The sequence below is a fragment of the Homo sapiens genome, chromosome 14 (assembly GCF_000001405.40).
Source record: "Homo sapiens chromosome 14, GRCh38.p14 Primary Assembly".
NCBI lineage: Eukaryota > Metazoa > Chordata > Mammalia > Primates > Hominidae > Homo > Homo sapiens.
This window is the reverse complement of record NC_000014.9, coordinates 54,937,471-54,956,799: the sequence shown is the minus strand read 5'-3', so window position 1 is coordinate 54,956,799 and position 19,329 is coordinate 54,937,471. Positions and strand designations below refer to the sequence as shown.

The 19,329-nt window shown below is 39.9% G+C and overlaps 1 protein-coding gene across 4 annotated transcripts in view, besides 1 other annotated feature; it reads left to right on the top strand.

The window, feature by feature from the left end:
* Positions 1 to 17,851, top strand: part of WDHD1 (WD repeat and HMG-box DNA binding protein 1) — an 88,151-nt gene extending 70,300 nt beyond the window's left edge. For all 4 annotated transcript variants that reach the window (NM_001008396.3, XM_006720012.2, NM_007086.4 and 1 more), the window contains 3 exons: positions 1,106 to 1,239; positions 12,330 to 12,468; positions 15,110 to 17,851. In NM_001008396.3, coding sequence (NP_001008397.1) covers positions 1,106 to 1,239; positions 12,330 to 12,468; positions 15,110 to 15,310 — 474 coding nt within the window. In that variant the 3' untranslated portion in view covers positions 15,311 to 17,851. The remainder of the gene's footprint in view (positions 1 to 1,105; positions 1,240 to 12,329; positions 12,469 to 15,109) is intronic.
* Positions 11,635 to 11,929: an enhancer, noted in NCBI's record as "tiled region #2393; HepG2 Activating DNase matched - State 5:Enh". NCBI's record gives its function as "activates a minimal TATA promoter and a strong SV40 promoter by Sharpr-MPRA in HepG2 cells {active_cell/tissue: HepG2}" and the evidence as "EXISTENCE:reporter gene assay evidence [ECO:0000049][PMID:27701403]".
* Positions 17,852 to 19,329: the final 1,478 nt, after the last annotated feature.

Below are 19,329 nucleotides of genomic sequence, written 5' to 3'. Positions count from 1 at the left end.
TGGGAAACATAAGAGATACCCCATCTGAAAAAAACAAACCCCAAAACAGTTGTGTTTTTTGTTTCAGAATCACTCCCTATTCTGCCTCGTGAGTTGTTACACACTTTGTAGCAGATTCTGACTTCCAAGATCACTATCCTGCTCCCCCTGTCTTTTTTGAGACAGAGGCTCACTCTGTCACCCAGGCTGGATGGAGTGCAGTGTCAGGATCTCAGCTCACTGCAGCCTCTGTCTCCTGGGTTCAAGCAATTCTCATGCCTCAGCCTCCCGAGGAGTTGGGATTACAGAGGCCTGACATCACGCCCAGCTAATTTTGGTATTTTTAGTAGAGATGGGGTTTCAGCATGATGGCCAGGCTGGTCTCAAACTCCTGGCCTCAAGTGATCCACCCACCTCAGCCTCCCAAAGTGCTGGTATTACAGGCATGAGCCACCGCACCCAGCCTATCCTGCCCCTCTCCTTGTTTTTACAGATCACTTTTTAAAAATATATATACTCAGACCCCAGAAGCTCAGACATTTATCTGTATTTTTATTAAAATCACCCAGATAGTTCTGATGTATATTCGTATTTAATAGTGGCTGATATTGTACATGGCCCTAATTTTTCCTTGTTCTGAGTCCTGATTTTTCCACTCTGATAAGTATTTGATCCCGGATTAGTCATTGGTAAAATAGATCTATTGCTTATCTTTTCTATTTAATATAATTGTATTCATTTAGAAAACATGGAATTTAGGCCAGCCGCGGTGGCAGGTGCCTGTAATCCCAGCTACCTGGGAGGGTGAGTCAGGAGAACCACTTGAACTCGGAGGGTGGAGGTTGCAGTGAGCCGAGATAGCGCCACTGCACTCCAGCCTGGGCAACAGAGTGAGACTCCGTCTCAAAAAAAAAAAAAAAAAAAAGGAAAACATGGAATCTGAAGTGTAGTTTTTTGGTTTTGCATGTGTTTGCCTATTTATTTACAACTGAGAACTCCAGATTTCACATGTTAGTATAAGAATTCTCAATAATTATAGATGTTTCTTCACATTTTTCAGAACGTGCTTATAAAACATATAAAATTATACTAGATGTTATTGCAGTATTCATGTTTGTTTTTATAGGCATCTGCAGCATCCTATTTCCAGAAAAGAAATTCTCAAACTAATAAAACTGAGGAAGTGAAAGAAGAAAATCTTAAAAATGTATTATCTGAAACCCCAGCTATATGTCCTCCTCAAAACACTGAAAACCAAAGGTCAGTACATAGAGAAATTTAGCATGCAGTGACCAAGTAAAAAGTATACAGTAGCAGCAATACAAAATTATGCAATGCTGTTATTCCTTAATACAAATAATACATTGGCATTGGTAGTGGGCATTCTGGACACTTGTGACTATAAGGAAGCCACAAATATTAATGTCTATTTATAATATTTATTAAAATATGCTTTAATAAATTGTATATTTTTAAATTGTGGATATATTTTATTGGGACATTATATTTTGTAATTAATTTTTTGTTTGTTTTTAAATAGTTTAATGGGGAGAAATAGCAAAAGATACAAAAAGAAGAGTGATAATAAGTAGTTTCATCCAACTAATTTCTGTCTCCAAAAACAATCACTGCAACAAGTTTCTTGTGGAACTTTCCAAAATTATTCTATTTATGTGCAAATACATATTTGTCTATTTTTTGTTTTACACATTATTCTGTACCTTACTTTTTTAACTTAACAATAGCTTTTGTAGCTTATTTTATATTACTACATAAAGAACTTCTTTATACTGGCTGGGCATGGTGGCTCACGCCTATAATCTCAGCACTTTGGGAAGCCGAAGCAGGCGGATCATCTGAGGATGGGAGTTCGAGACCAGCCTGACCAACATGGAGAAACCCTGTCTCTATTAAAAATACAAAATTAGCCAGGCTTGGTGGCACATGCCTGTAATCCCAGCAAATCGGAAGGCTGAGGCAGGAGAATCACTTGAACCCGGGACGCGGAGATTGCAGTCATCTGAGATCACACCGCTGCACTCCAGCCTGGGCAACAAAAGCGAAACTCTGTCTCAAAAAAACCAAAAAAACAAAAAGAACTTCTTTATACTATAGCAAGGCTATCAGAAAAAGTAAATACATAAATGGATGGATAGATAGAAAAATAAGAGCTTTAATCTTTGTGTATCCATTGAATAGACATGTCATAGTTCATGTAGTTCTCTACTTGTGGACAAAAGATGGTTACCGGTCTTTTGCTAGTACAGACAGTACTGCAATGAATAATTTTATATGAATAGCATTTCTCACAGATGCATATATAGCTATAAGATGGATTCATGTATGGTTCAAGTTAATCTGCACTTATAATTCCAATGCCAGATTGTTCTGCATTGATGTTGTATCATTTTATACACCTTTAGCAATATGAGTATTCCTATTTGCTCATATCCTCTTTGTCCACAAACACAGTATGTTACCTATTTTCTTGATCTCTACTATGCTGGATTTCTTTGTATTTATTTATTTTTTCTGAGACGGAGTTTCGCTCTTGTTGCCCAGGCTGGAGTGCATTGGCACGATCTTGGCTCACTGCAACCTCCGCCTCCCAGGTTCAAGCGATTCTCCTGCCTCAGCCTCCTGAGTAGCTGGGATTGCAGGCATACGCCACCATGCCTGGCTAATTTTATATCTTTTTTTTTTTTTTAAATACTTTTAAGCTCTAGGGTACATGTGCACAACATTCAGGTTTGTTACATATGTACACATGTGCCATGTTGGTGTGCTGTGCTCATCATTTACATTAGGTATATCTCCTAATGCTATCCCTCCCTACTTCCCCCACCCCACAACAGGCCCAAGTGTGTGATGTTCCCCTTCCTGTGTCCAAGCGTTCTCATTGTTCAGTTCTCACCTATGAGTGAGAACATGCGGTGTTTGGTTTTTTGTCCTTGAGATAGTTTGCTGAGAATGATGGTTCCCAGTTTCATCCATGTCCCTACAAAGGACATGAATTCATCCTTTTTTATGGCTGTATAGTATTCCATGGTGTATATGTGCCACATTTTCTTAATCTAGTCTATCATTGATGAACATTTAGGTTGGTTCCAAGTCTTTGCTATTGTGAATAGTGCCACAATAAACATACGTGTGCATGTGTTTTTATAGCAGCATGATTTATAATCCTTTGGGTATATACCCAGTAATGGGATTGCTGGGTCAAATGGTATTTCTAGTTCTAGATCCTTGAGGAATCGCCACACCGCCTTCCACAATGGTTGAACTAGTTTACAGTCCCACCAACAGTGTAAAAGTGTTCCTATTTCTCCACATCCTCTCCAGCACCTGTTGTTTCCTGACATTTTAATGATTGCCATTCTAACTGGTGTGAGATGGTTTCTCACTGTGGTTTTGATTTGCATTTCTCTGATGGCCAGTGATGATGAGCATTTTTTCATGTGTCTGTTGGCTGCATAAATGTCTTCTTTTGAGAAGTGTCTGCTCATATCCTTCGCCCACTTTTTGATTGGGTTTGTTTTTTTCTTGTAAATTTGTTTGAGTTCTTTGTAGATTCTGGATATTAGCCCTTTGTCAGATGGGTAGATTGCAAAATTTTTTCCCGTTCTGTAGGTTGCCTGTTCACTCTGATGGTAGTTTCTTTTGCTGTGCAGAAGCTCTTTAGTTTAATTAGATCCCATCTGTCAATTTTGGCTTTTGTTGCCATTGCTTTTGGTGTTTTAGACATGAAGTCCTTGCACATTCCTATATCCTGAATGGTATTGCCTAGGTTTTCTTCTGGGGTTTTTATGGTTTTAGATCTAACATTTAAGTCTTTAATCCATCTGGAATTAATTTTTGTATAAGATGTGAGGAATGGATCCAGTTTCAGCTTTCTACATATGGCTAGGCAGTTTTCCCAGCACCATTTATTAAATAGGGAATCCTTTCCCCATTTCTTGTTTTTGTCATGTTTGTCAAAGATCAGATGGTTGTAGATGTGTGGTATTATTTCTGAGGGCTCTGTTCTGTTCCATTGGTCTGTATCTCTGTTTTGGTACCAGTACTGTGCTGTTTTGTATAGTTTGAAGTCAGGTAGCGTGATGCCTCCAGCTTTGTTCCTTTGGCTTATGAGTGACTTGGCAATGCGGGCTCTTTTTTGGTTCCATATGAACTTTAAAGTAGTTTTTTCCAATTCTGTGAAGAAAGTCATTGATAGCTTGATGGGGATGGCATTGAATCTATAAATTGCCTTGGACAGGATGGCCGTTTTCACGATAGTGATTCTTCCTATCCATGAGCGTGGAATGTTCTTCCGTTTGTTTGTGTCCTCTTTTATTTCATTGAGCAGTGGTTTGTAGTTCTCTTTGAAGAGGTCCTTCACATCCCTTGTAAGTTGGATTCCTAGGTATTTTATTCTCTTTGAAGCAATTGTGAATGGGAGTTCACTCATGATTTGGCTCTCTGTTTGTCTGTTATTGGTGTATAAGAATGCTTGCGATTTTTGCACATTGATTTTGTATCCTGAGACTTTGCTGAAGTTCCCTATCAGCTTAAGGAGATTTTGGGCTGAGACGACGGGGTTTTCTAAATATACAATCATGTCATCTGCAAACAGGTACAATTTGACTTCCTCTTTTCCTAATTGAATACCCTTTATTTCTTTCTCCTGCCTGATTGCCCTGGCCAGAACTTCCAACACTATGTTGAACAGAAGTGGTGAGAGAGGGCATCCCTGTCTTGTGCCAGTTTTCAAAGGGAATGCTTCCAGTTTTTGCCCATTCAGTATGATATTGGCTGTGGGTTTGTCATAAATAGCTCTTATTATTTTGAGATACATCCCATCAATACCTAATTTATTGAGAGTTTTTTAGCATGAAGCGTTGTTGAATTTTGTCACAGGCCTTTTCTGCATCTATTGAGATAACCATGTGGTTTTAGTCTTTGGTTCTGTTTATATGCTGGATTACGTTTATTTATTTGCGAATGTTGAACTAGCCTTGCATCCCAGAGATGAAGCCCACTTGATAAGTTTTTTGAAGTGCTGCTGGATTTGGTTTGCCAGTATTTTACTGAGGATTTTTGCATCGATGTTCATCAGGGATATTGGTCTAAAATTCTCTTTTTTTGTTGTGTGTCTGCCAGGCTTTGGTATCAGGATGATGCTGGCCTCATAAAATGAGTTAGGGAGGATTCCCTCTTTTTCTATTGATTGGAATAGTTTCAGAAGGAATGGTAACAGCTCCTCCTTGTACCTCTGGTAGAATTTGGCTGTGAATCCATCTGGTCCTGGACTTTTTATTTGGTTGGTAGGCTATTAATTATTGCCTCAATTTCAGAGCCTGTTATTGGTCTATTCAGAGATTGAACTTCTTCCTCGTTTAGTCTTGGGAGGGTGTGTGTGTCCAGGAATTTATCCATGTCTTCTAGATTTTCTAGTTTATTTGCATAGAGGTGTTTATAGTATTCTTTGATGGTAGTTTGTATTTCTGTGGGATCAGTGGTGATATCCCCTTTATCATTTTTTATTGCATCTATTTGATTCTTCTCTCTTTTCTTCTTTATTAGTCTTGCTAGCGGTCTATCAGTTTTATTGATCTTTTCAAAAAACCAGCTCCTGGATTCATTGATTTTTTGAAGGCTTTTTTGTGTCTCTATCTCCTTCAGTTCTGCTCTGATCTCAGTTATTTCTTGCCTTCTGCTAGCTTTTGAATATGTTTGCTCTTGCTTCTCTAGTTCTTTTAATTGTGATGTTAGGGTGTCAATTTTAGATATTTTCTGCTTTCTCTTGTGGGCATTTAGTGCTATAAATTTCCCTCTACACACTGCTTTAAATGTGTCCCAGAGATTCTGGTATGCTGTGTCTTTGTTCTCGTTGGTTTCAAAGAACATCTTTATTTCTGCCTTCATTTCGTTATGTACCCAGTAGTCATTCAGGAGCAGGTTGTTCAGTTTCCATGTGGTTGAGCAGTTTTGGGTGAGTTTCCTAATGCTGAGTTCTAGTTTGATTGCACTGTGGTCTGAGAGACAGTTTGTTATAATTTCTGTTCTTTTACATTTGCTGAGGAGTGCTTTACTTCCAACTATGTGGTCAGTGTTGGAATAAGTGCGATGTGGTGCTCAGAAGAATGTATATTCTGTTGATTTGGGGTGGAGAGTTCCGTAGATGTCTGTTAGGTCTGCTTGGTGCAGAGCTGAGTTCAATTCCTGGATATCCTTGTTAACTTTGTCTCGTTGATCTGTCTAATGTTGACAGTGGGGTGTTAAAGTCTCCCATTATTATTGCGTGGGAGTCTAAGTCTCTTTGTAGGTCTCTAAGGACTTGGTTTATGAATCTGGGTGCTCCTGTATTGGGTGCATATATATTTAGGATAGTTAGCTCTTCTTGTTGAATTGAATTGATCCCTTTACCATTATGTAATGGCCTTCTTTGTCTCTTTTGATCTTTGTTGGTTTAAAGTCTGTTTTATCAGAGACTAGGATTGCAACCCCTGCCTTTTGTTGTTTTCCATTTGCTTGGTAGATCTTCCTCCATCCCTTTATTTTGAGCTTATGTGTGTCTCTGCACATGACATGGGTCTCCTGAATACAGCACACTGATGGGTCTTGACTCTTTATCCAATTTGCCATTCTGTGTCTTTTAATTGGAGCATTTAGCCCATTTACATTTAAGGTTAATATTGTTATGTGTGAATTTGATCCTGTCATTATGATGTTAGCTGGTTACTTTGCTCATTAATTGATGCAGTTTCTTCCTAGCCTTGATGGTCTTTACAATTTGGCATGTTTTTTCAGTGGCTGGTACCGGTTGTTCCTTTCCATGTTTAGTGCTTCTTTCAGGAGCTCTTGTAGGGCAGGCGTGGTGGTGACAAAATCTCTCAGCATTTGCTTGTCTGTAAAGGATTTTATTTCTCCTTCACTTATGAAGCTTAGTTTGGCTGGATATGAAATTCTGAGTTGAAAATTCTTTTCTTTAAGAATGTTGAATATTGGCCCCCACTCTCTTCTGGCTCATAGAGTTTCTGCCGAGAGATCAGCTGTTAGTCTGATGGGCTTCCCTTTGTGGGTAACCTAACCTTTCTCTCTGAACATTTTTTCTTTCATTTCAACTTTGGTGAATCTGACAATTATGTGTCTTGGAGTTGCTCTTCTCGAGGAGTATCTTTGTGGCATTCTCTGTATTTCCTGAATTTGAATGTTGGCCTGCCTTGCTAGGTTGGGGAAGTTCTCCTGGATAGTATCCTGCAGAGTGTTTTCCAACTTGGTTCCATTCTCCCTGTCACTTTCAGGTACACCAAACAAACGTAGATTTGGTCTTTTCACATAGTCCCATATTTCTTGGAGGCTTTGTTTGTTTCTTTTTACTCTTTTTTCTCTAAACTTTTCTTCTCGCTTCATTTCATTCATTTGATCTTTGATCACTGATACCCTTTCTTCCAGTTGATTGAATTGGCTACTGAGGCTTGTGCATTCGTCACGTAGTTCTCGTGCCATGGTTTTCAGCTCCATCAGGTCATTTGAGGAGTTCTCTACACTGGTTATTCTAGTTAGCCATTCGTCTAATCTTTTTTCAAGGTTTTTAGCTCCTTTGCGATGCGTTCGAACTTCCTCCTTTAGCTCGGAGAGGTTTGATCGTCTGAAGCCTTCTTCTCTCAACTCGTCAAAGTCATTCTCCGTCCAGCTTTGTTCCGTTGCTGGTGAGGAGCTGCGTTCCTTTGGGGGGGGAGAGGTGCTCTGATTTTTAGAATTTTCAGCTTTTTTGCTCTGTTTTTTCCCCAATCTTTATGGTTTCATCTATCTTTGGTCTTTGATGATGGTGACGTACACATGGGGTTTTGGTATGGATGTCCTTTTTGTTTGTTAGTTTTCCTTCTAACAGTCAGGACCCTCAGCTGCAGGTCTGTTGGAGTTTGCTGGAGGCCCACTCCAGACTCTGCCTGGGTATCAGCAGCGGAGGCTGCAGAACAGCAAATATTGGTGAACAGCAAATGTTGCTGCCTGGTCATTCCTCTGGAAGCCTCGTCTCAGAGGGGTACCCGGCCGTGTGAGGTGTCAGTCTGCCCCTACTGGGGGGTGCCTCCCAGTTAGGCTACTTGTGGATCATGGACCCACCTGTCACTGAGGAGGCAGTCTGTCCATTCTCAGATCTCAAACTCTGTGCTGGGAGAACCACTACTCTCTTCAAAGCTGTCAGACAGGGACATTTAAATCTGTAGAGGTTTCTGCTGCCTTTGTTCGGCTATGCCCTGCCCCCAGAGGTGGAGTCCACAGAGGCAGGCAGGACTCCTTGAGCTTCAGTGGGCTCCACCCAGTTCGAGTTTCCTGGCTGAGGCTGCCGCCTTGTAGTTCAATCTCAGACTGCTGTGCTAGCAATGAGTGAGGCTCCATGGGCATGGGACCCTCTGAGCCAGGAGTGGGATATAATCTCCTGGTGTGCCGTTTGCTAAGACCATTGGAAAAGCACAGTATTAGGGTGGGGGTGACCCAATTTTCCAGGTGCTGTGTGTCACAGCTTTGCTTGGCTAGGAAAGGGAATTTTCTGACCCCTTGCGCTTCCCGGGTGAGGTGATGCCTTGCCCTGCTTCAGCTCACACTCGGTGTGCCACACCCCCTGTTCTGCGCCCACTGTCCGACAAGCCCTAGTGAGATGAACCTGGTACCTCAGTTGGAAGTGCAGAAATCACCCGTCTTCTGCATCGCTCATGCTGGGAGCTGTAGGCTGAAGCTCTTCCTATTCGACCATCTTGGAACCGCTTAATTTTGTATCTTTAGTAGAGACGAGGTTTCTCCATGTTGGTCAGGCTGGTCTCAAACTCCTGACCTCAGGTGATCTGCCCACCTTGGCCTCCCAAAGTGCTGGAATTACAGGTGTGAGCCACCACTCCTGGCCTTATTTTTAATATATCCGTTAAATTTGAAAAGTCACAATTTTGGCCTGGCACAGTGGCTCACGCCTGTAATCCCAGCACTTTGGGAGGCTGAGGTGGGCGGATCACTTGAGGTCAAGAGTTCGAGACCAGCCTGGCCAACATGGTGAAACCCCATCTCTATTAAAAATACAAAAGTTTGCCAGGTATGGTGGCTCATGCCTGTAATCCCAGCTACTTGGGAGGCTGAGGCAGGAGAATCGCTTGAACACAGGAGACGGAGGCTGCAATGAGCCAAGATTGTGCCACTGCACTCCAGCCTGGGCAACAGAGTGAGACTCCATCTCAGAAAAAACAAAAAGAAAAGAACAGTCACAATTTCATTTTTACCATAATATATCTCATTTTTCTCATGCTGAACAGTCCAGGGAGAAAAATAATAATAAAGTATATCTTATTTTCTTAATGACTTTATGTTAACCAGTTTGAGGGAGTGGCTGTGGTTTTCACATTTCCTGTTTTGTTCTGAATTTAATTTAGGTCTTAAACAGTGAAAATTTTATTTAAGAAAATTGATAGGCCGGGCATAGTGGCTCATGGTTTTTTTTCCGCTTAACACTTTTTTCTTTTTGCTCTTGTTGCCCAGACTGCAATGCAATGGCACAATCTCGGCTCACTGCAACCTCTGCCTCTGGGTTCAAGTGATTCTCCTGTCTCAGCCTCCTGAGTAGCTGTGATTACAGGCATGCGCAACCATGCCCGACTAATTTTGTATTTTTAGTAGAGATGAGGTTTCTCCATGTTGGTCAGGCTGGTCTTGAACTCCTGACCTCAGGTGATCCACCCGCCTTGGCCTCCCAAAGTGCAGGGATTACAGGTGTGAGCCACCATGCCTGGCCCGCCTAACACTTTTTTTGAGACAGTCTTGCCCTGTCACCAAGGCTGGAGTCCACTGGTGCAATCTCAGCTCACTGCAACCTCCACCTTCTGGGTTCAAGCAATTCTCATGCCTCAGCCTCCTGAGTAGCTGGGATTACAGGTGTGTGCCACCATGCCCACTAATTTTGTTATTTTTTGGTAGAGATGGAGTTTGCCACGTTGGCCAGGCTGGTCTCAAACTCTTGGCCTCAAGCGATTTGCCCATCTCGGCTTCCCAAAGTGCTGGGGTTACAGGTGTGAGCCACCACACCTGGCCAAGCCTAACACTTTGGAAGGCCAACATGATCAGTTAGCTTCAGCCCAGGAGATTGGAACCAGCCTGGGCAATGTAGGGAGACCCCATCTCTACCAAAAGTTTTAAAATCAGCCAGGTGTGTGTGGTGGCACATGCCTGTAGTCCCAACTGCTTGAGAGTCTGAGGCAGGAGGATTGCTTGAGCCCAGGAATTTGAGGTGGCAGTGAGCTGATTATACCACTGCACTCCAGCCTGGGCGACAAAGCAAGACCCTTTCTCTTAAAACAACAACAAAGAAGATTGATAATTTAATTTTTCATACTATCAGTTGGTTATACAAAAAACTTACTTTTGAAATTTTAAGGAATTACCACTATTGAAACTAATATTTTGTCACAGATGTTGATATACTTAATCAGAAATGTCCAGTTTTAGCCAGGTGGCTGTGCACTCTTGTAGTCCTAGCCACTCAGAAGGTTGAGTCAGAAGGGTTGCTTAAGCCCAGAAGTTTGAGGCCAGCCTAGGCAACATAGTGAGACTCACGTCTCTTTAAAAAACAAAGAAAGAAATGTTCAATTTTGGTTTTCTTTTTAAAAATAGCTGTTTAGAAGTAGATGATTGCAGGCCACTAAGTAGACTTGTGACATTGCCCCAAGTTTCATTAAAATGGGTCTTCATTAATTTTTGGAAATTCAGGAACCTTTGTTATACCTTGATTTTTACTTGTTTTGATTTGTTCTGTTATTTTTCTGGAAATCGGTTTACGTTAAGATTACTTAAAATTTGCATATTTTCAGAAATTGGGCAAATGGTTATGGTCATACTAGTAATTTTTTAATAAAAATTTTTTTAACCTTAAAAAGTTTAGACTTTTTATTTAGGATTCATTTAGGTTCAGCCTAGTGAGGGGCGTATAGCTGCTGGGTTAAACATAAGAGACTCTGGGCCAGGCACAGTGGCTCACGCCTGTAATCCCAGCACTTTGGGAGGCCGAGGCGAGTGGATCATGAGGTCAGGAGTTCGAGACCCACCTGGCCAATATGGTGAAACCCTGTCTTTACTAAAAATACAAAAATTAGCTGGGTGTGGTGGCGCGTACCTGTAGTCCCAGCTGTTTGGGAGGCTGAGGCAGGAGAATCACTTGAACCTGGAAGGTGGAGGTTGCAGTAAGCCAATACAGAGCCACTGTACTCCAGCATAGGGGAAAGAGCTAGACTCCATCTCTACAAAAAAACATAGACTTTGGAGTCAAATTGCCTGGTTGTTGGATCCCAGGTCTGAGTTTTACTGTTTGTGTAACCTGGGATAGGTTATTTCACATCTCTGAGCCTCCCTTTTCTCACTTATGGAATGGAGATAATAACTGTATCCATCTCATAGTGTTATTGTCATTTAAATGAGGTACTATACATAAAGCTTTTAGAGTAGTGCCTGGTAGATAGTAAGTGATCAGTAAATGTTAAATATTTGCATTAAACCTTCACTTGTGTGACTTAAAGACAATTTGTATTGTGAGTGGAATCTAATGAAATGTACAAATGTGCTGTGTCCGTGCTTCACCTAATGCTGATGCAGGTCAGCTCTGAGAGCAAGGGTGAGGCGATGGCAAAGGGGCTTGAGAAAAGTCGTGAGGAATTCAAATAGCTGGTTTGGGGAAATAGAAAAAGAGCCTACCAAGGACATGTGGTAGGCCACAAGGGCTAAGTGAGGTTGGAGACCTTGAGCCTGTCAACATTCATTAAAAAGTTGAAAGTACAGAGTTCATGGTTGCTGCACTTGGAAAATACAAACGTGAGTGATCCTTTTGAATTGACCTTACAAAGGATTTTCCAGTTCATTGATCCTGCAGTCTCCAGGCAGTTTAAAGTAATATGAGGCCAGGCACGGTGGCTTATGCCTGTAATCCCAGCAGTTTGGGAAGCCGAGGCGGGCAGATCACGTGAGGTCAGGAGTTTGAGACCAGCCTGACCAACATGGTGAAACCCCATGCAAAAAATTAGCCAGGTGTGGTGGCGCATGCCTGTAATCCCAGCTACTTGGGAGGCTGAGGCAGGAGAATCGCTTGAACCCAGGAGGCGGAGGTTGCAGTGAGCTGAGATCGCGCCATTGCACTCCAGGCTGGGTGACAGAGTGAGACTCTGTCTCAAAAAAAAAAAAAAAAAAAAAGTAACATGAATTAACAAGTGTAACTGTGTCTTCCTTACTTTATATAATAGATGTCAGAGACTTATGGTTGATTACTAACTTAAAATCATGAGGCACTTTAAACTCTGTCTTAAGTATAAAATGTTTTCACATAATTGTGATTTTAGGCCAAAGACCGGGTTCCAGATGTGGTTAGAAGAAAATAGAAGTAATATTTTGTCTGACAATCCTGACTTTTCAGATGAAGCAGACATAATAAAAGAAGGAATGATTCGATTTAGAGTATTGTCAACTGAAGAAAGAAAGGTAAGGATAATTGTGCCGAGATTGAGATCTTAGTGAATTCCCAGATTTAAAAAATTCTTATAGAAATGCCTTTTGGCTGGGTATGGTGTCTTATGCCTGTAATCCTAGCACATTGGGAGGTCGAGGCGGATCACTTGAGCTCAGGAGTTCGTGACCAGCCTGGGCAACATAGTGAGACATCGTCTCTAATAATAATAATAACAACAACAAAGATAATAACGATCATGACAACTAAAAAAAAAAGGAAAAGCCTTTTTCTGTTTTTGGAAATTGAATACATCCACCAAACTTTTTAAAGAGGAAAGTAAGTGCGGATATATGGTAATATGGATATGTAGTAATTATTATGTAATGGTGATGGGTTTTTTGTTTTGTTTTTGTTTGAGGCAGGTCTTGTTCTTTCACCCAGGCAGGAGTGTCGTGGTGTGATCATGGCTCACTGCCACCTCGACCTCCTGGGCACAAGCAATTGTCCTCTTTTTTTTTTTTATAGAGACAACCTCTCACTGTGTTGCCCAGGCTGGATGGTTAATTTTTTGACGGTTTACTGTTTTAATCTCTATAAGTTCCTGTATGTTTTAAGTTAGGAGAATACCCCAAGAAAAGATGCATTTGTTAAAAATCAAAAGTGTCAAGCTGAGTTCGTTGGCTCAAGCCTGTAATCCTAGCACTTTGGGAGGCCAAGGCAGGAGGATCTCTTGAGCCCAGGAGTTTGAGACCAGCCTAGACAACATAGTGATACACCATCTCTACAAAAATTTAAAAATTAGCCTGGCATGGTGGCACACACCTGTAGTCCCAGTTACTCAGGAGGTTGAGGTGGGAAGATCACTTACTTGAGCCCAGGAGGTCAAGGCTGCAGTGAGCCGTGATTGTGTCACTGTACTCCAGCATGGGTGACAGAGTGAGACCGGGTCTCTAGGGGGAAAAAAATTAATAAGTAAAAATGAATTCACATTTTTTGAATACTACTTTAGGGTTCTTGCAAGCAGAATTTTTAAAAATTGTATCTACTTACACATTAAATACTACATGAGACTATTCCTTTTGGGAAAAAGACTGGTGTTCTGTTCCAGCCTTTCACATGGAAATTAGGACAGGTGGCTGGCTTGCTTCTGATAAACTTCTGCCATGTGAAGGAAGGAAGGCACAATCTCTCAGTTAGAAGTGGAAGGAATGTGTGTGGTGTACCAGTTAAATCCTCAGGTTTCACTTCCCCAGGAATGGCAGGGCGCAGCACAGGCACCTAGTAACGTAGATACTTGCTTTGGTAAATTGGGTTTTATGAAAAAGGTGTTGCATAATGAGGAAGCCAGAAACTGGTTTAAACACCTTTAGCGTCATTTAGAACCTCATTTACAATTTTATGTTTCTCATTTGTTGTTCAATAAAATGGCGTCTAAATAAATAAGACTTTACACTGCAAAAGAGGAAGAGACTTGGCAAAGTCTGTGATTGTGTTTTTGAATACTTAAAAATGTAATCAGTATTTTTAAGGTAAACCCTAAACATTTACTTAAATCCAGTTTGTTAATGTGAGAAATTCTACAGCTTGAAGAGCCCTTGAAATGGCCAGGGAAATAAAGTAGGAGTGGGGAACTATTATAGATTAAAAGAGATTTTAGAGACAGATGAAATGAATGGACCTTGTCTGGCTCTTGCTGAGTGAATAAAAACCAAACCCCAAAGAATATATACTCATTTATATAACATTCCTGAAATGACAACATGATCAAGATGGAGAATAGAGTAGTGGTTGCCAGGGGTTGGAGTCGGAGTTGGGGCTTGGGGAAGAGGTTCTGTATTTTGACTGTGGTGGTAAACAAACCAACCCACAATAAAAGTAAATACATACATACGCTCAAATGAGTAGAAGTAAAATGGGATTGTTTCAATGTCAGTTCCCTATAGTTGTGATTGTTGGGCTATAGTTTTGCAAAATGTTACCACTGGGGAAAACTGGGTGAAGGCTACACAGGATCTTTCTGTATTATTTCATACAACTGCATGTGAAACTGCAATTATCTTAGAATAAAAAGTTTCATTTTTATTATTTATTTATTTATTTATTTATTTATTTTTTGAGACGGAGTCTTGCTCTCGCCCAGGCTGGAGTGCAGTGGCGTGATCTCAGCTCACTGCAGGCTCCACCTCCCGGGTTCACTCTAGTCTCCTGCCTCAGCCTCCCAAGTAGCTGGGACTACAGGCGCCCGCTACCATGCCCGGCTAATTTTTTTGTATTTTTAGTAGAGACGGGGTTTCACTGTGTTAGCCAGGATGGTCTCAGTCTCCTGACCCCGTGATCCACCCACCTCGGCCTCCCAAAGTGCTGGGATTACAGACATGAGCCACCGTGCCTGGCCAAAAGTTTCATTTTTAAATAGTACTGCAATTATAGTATTTTGCAACTAATATGATTAATATAAGCAAAGCTTAGATTGAGATATAAAAGTAGTGTAAATCTTTAATGTGCTCTGCATTTAAGTAATAAAAGATTTGTTAACAATGAGAACACTTAATTCAAGTGCTAATTATTCTGCTTTATATATAAAAATATTACCTGGAAAAGTAAATAAATCATTTACTTCTTATTTGTTATTTTCTAAAAATCTTTCCTTTTCACTCCTGCCATTTTACAAAGGTGTGGGCTAACAAAGCCAAAGGAGAAACGGCAAGTGAAGGAACTGAAGCAAAGAAGCGAAAACGTGTGGTTGATGAAAGTGATGAAACAGAAAACCAGGAAGAAAAAGCAAAAGAGAACCTGAATTTGTCTAAAAAGCAGAAACCTTTAGATTTTTCTACAAATCAGAAACTATCAGCTTTTGCATTTAAGCAGGAGTAAAGGAAGAAAGTGACCCTAGGGAAGTAATGGATTTTTTTTTACTCATCTTTGAATATAGACTCGAGTCTTTGGGAAACTCATTATATATATATTTTTTAAAGAGTTTGAAGCAACTGTTTGTCTTTATAAGATAATGTAGTAATTATATTGGTGTAGGTAACAGGACATATGTAAAAACTATCATCTTTGCAGATTACTCTGCCTCCAAATGCAGGGCCTTTCAGAGATGCATTGTGATTGTAATTACTGAGTTGAAGCTCCAACCAATTTGAATTTGTTTCTTAACCTTGAAAAATCATTAAAGCCAAGGTATTAAAACCTTTGTGCATTAATACCTTCTAGGGGTTTGGTTCATTTGGTTTTTGTCATGTGCAAGGAAGGACAATAGTCCTCTTTCCAAGTGTGTTAGCATAGACTTCTCTATATGTTTCTACTAGACCTAGGGGATGACGTCTTTTAATAATACTGGCCCTAAACATGTAAATAATCTTGTAGGTGAGACTTTTTCTTTTGTGTTTCGGAAATTTCCTATGTGGCTTTCAGTTGTCTGTTTGTATAGCCTGGATTTTTTTGAGGTAAATGAAACTTTCTCATTTGTATATTTGGCTTGATATGGTCTTAATATTATCTTTCCACGAAATGGATATATTTCTAGAAAATATATATTTACTACCATAATTTCTACCACCACCCCCATTTTGCTCTGCATTATACACAGTAGAGAAGAACTGAAGACACTGCTGTGACAGTATTGCAGTCCAAGGCATCATGTGCTCTTGGTGGGATACTCTGATTATCAGCATCAACAGTACTTTACTGAGCAAGACTTTGAAGGCCTGAGAAGAGAGCAAAGTTATGGAAAGTATTTAACTCTTATTTTATATTGAACAAACAAGGTTTAATCATGTCATACATTTTTGGTTTTCTAAGCAGAGACTAATACAAATGCAGCCACATAAAGGCAGTGTACTGGGGGTGGGAGGGAAGGAAACAATCACATAAAATCAGCTGACTCAAAATTGAGGATAGTTAATAGGTTGAAAGGGAAAAAGTATGTTGAAAATTTAGACATAAATGAACCAAGAATATTCCTTATCTGGTGATGATTAAAGTTAGGAAAACATACATTTTTTATTTTTTAATTAGTAGCTGCTATCAGAGACATTATAGCACAGTGGTTATGAGCACAGATTCCAAAGCCAGATTACCTAGGTTCGGAGACCCGCTTCTCTACCTACTACTAATAGTTGGGTCATGTTGGGCCGGTGACCCAAATTCTAGCCTTCATTCACTCATCTGTAAAATGGATATAATGATAGTACCTACTTTATAGGTTGTTATGAGAATTGAATGAAATGAAAGCCCTTAGTTTCTGACACATAGTAATCTTTTATATAAATGTTAGTTACTATTCTGATAATGATGATGCTGTTGGTTATTTCATCTTGCTTTGTCATTAGGTTTGATTCTGAATACTATACAAACTAATTTTGATTTCAAGATCTTAAGTAAAGGTTTATTTATAGTACATTGGAAAGCATGTTTGTAGACATGTATTTTGTGTTTGGTTCCTCAACTTGCTTTGTATATATTTTATAATACTAGGTTGATATAAAAGTAAATGCAGTTTCGCCATTTCAGTGGCAAAAACCGCGATTTCTTTTGTGCCAACCTAATGCTTAAGGATATAATCTGTGTATATTGTATTTCAGATTCATAGCAACCTAATAACAAGGATTTACAAAAGGGTTTTTACTTCCCTACTTTTTTTTGGCTGAAGGAAGGTTTTTGTATTGACTTGGTTTAACTTACAAATCAGAACTTTGAAACCAAGAAACATTATCCTTATTTCTCTGCTATATAATAGTAAACCTGTTTTTTTCCAGTGTTCTTTTTTTTTTTTCCAGAGAATTGGGACTGAATAGTATGAAAGTGAAAATGGAAATAAATTAATTATTAATCATCATCATATCAATAATATTGCCTACTTGAGCTTATTGTATACTATAGAAAATTGACATATACTTAATTTTATTCTCCAAAAGCAAAAACTCCTCACAGGAGGTTACTTTACAGATTTATTTTGGAGAACAAGTGAATAGGCACTGGGGTTATGTGCAGCTCTGGGGACTGTGCTATGATCTAAAGCCTCTCATATCTGTGCAGCAACCTGGGGTGAGTCACTGTCACTAACATGGAACAGATGCCAGGTAGTCCCTTTGGACAAAAGGATGAGGCCCATCCATGTAGAAAGCATCTTAATCAGTGACTGTCTTATGGGCCCTCTTTGTTTCCCATCTGTTTTATTATCAGAATATATAATTTTCCCCCAAGTTTTCATCTTGAATCTCTCAAACCTACAGAAAATTTGAAATTTGACAGTAAGCACCTGTATATCCTTCCTCTAGTTTGTCTTATTGTTGACATTTTATCATGTATGCTTTATAGACAGGATTTTTCCTGAACCATTTGGAATATGCATATACTTCATCCCTCAGTTCCCAGCATGTACCCTAAGAATAAAGATTTTCTTCTGCATAATTACAATGCCATAATTACTCCAAAGAAATTTAACAGATGATATTATTACATAGCCTGTATTTTATAATAAAATTTCCCTCAAAGTGCCGTTAGCCATTTTTACCCCCAGTTTAGGATCCAATCGAGAATCATGCATTGTATTTAATTATTAGAGGTAAATACTTTTATTTATTTATTTATTTATTTATTTATTTTAAAGACAGGGTCTCTCTCTGTCACCCAGGCTGAAGTGCAGTGGCACAGTCACAACTCATTGTAGCCTTGACCTCCCTGGGCTGAGGTGATCCTCCTGCTTCAGCCCCAAGTAGCTGGGAGTATAGGCAAATGCCACCACACCTGGCTAGTTTTTGTATTTTTTTACATAGATGGGTTTCATCATGTTGCCCAGGCTGGTCTCAAACTCCTGTGTGTCTTTGTTTGAGACAGTCTTTCTGTTGCCCAGGCTGGAGTGCAATGGCATGATCTTGGTTCACTGCAGCCTCTGCCTTTTGGGTTCAAGTGATTCTCTGGCCTCGGCCTCCTGAGTAGCTTGGATTATAGATGTGCGCCACCATGCCCAGCTAATTTTTGTGTTTTTAGTAGAGAGACAAGGTTTCGCCGTGGTGGCCAGGCTGGTCTCAAACTCCTGACCTCAAATGATCTGCCTGCCTCGGCCTTCCAAAGTGCTTGGATTACAGGTGTGAGCCACTGCTCCCGGTCCCAAGCTTAGAATTTGAAGGATGGCCTGTGCCAAAATGGGTAGAAGGTGGTATTCTGGGATTGACACTAATTTCTACCCACTTTGGGACTGTATTATAAAGGACAAAAACTGATGGAATAGGAAATAAACATAATGGAATTTAAAAAAGCCAAAAGTTGGTCTTTTGATAGATTAATGAATTAGAAAAATTATGTCTGCTTCATCTGAAAAGTCAGGATTGTCAGACAAAATATTACTTCTATTTTCTTCTAGCCACATCTGGAACTCGGTCTTTGGCCTAAAATCACAATTATGTGAAAACATTTTATACTTAAGACAGAGTTTAAGGTGCCTTATGATTTTAAGTTAGTAATCAATCATAAGTCTTTGATATCTATTATATAAAGTAAGGAAGACACAGTTACACTTGTTAATATTCATATTACATTGATCAAGATGAGAGAAAAGCACAAAAATGATCTTAGGAATGAAAAGAGATTTATTAACTACAAATGATACAGATATAAAGAAGAAGCTTGTGGTCAGTTTTGTGTGTCAAATTGGCTAAGCTAGAGTCACCAATATTCAATCAAATACTGACTTATATGTTGTGAAGGTATTTTATGGATATTAAAATTCATGATCAGTTGGATTTGAGGCAGAGAGACTATCCTAGATCATCTGTATGGGCCTGATTTAATCAGTTCAAAGGCCGTAAGAGCAAAACTGAGGCTCCCCTGAGGAAAAAGAAGAAATTATACCTGTGGGTAGCAACTTCATCTCATGCCCAAGGCTTCTA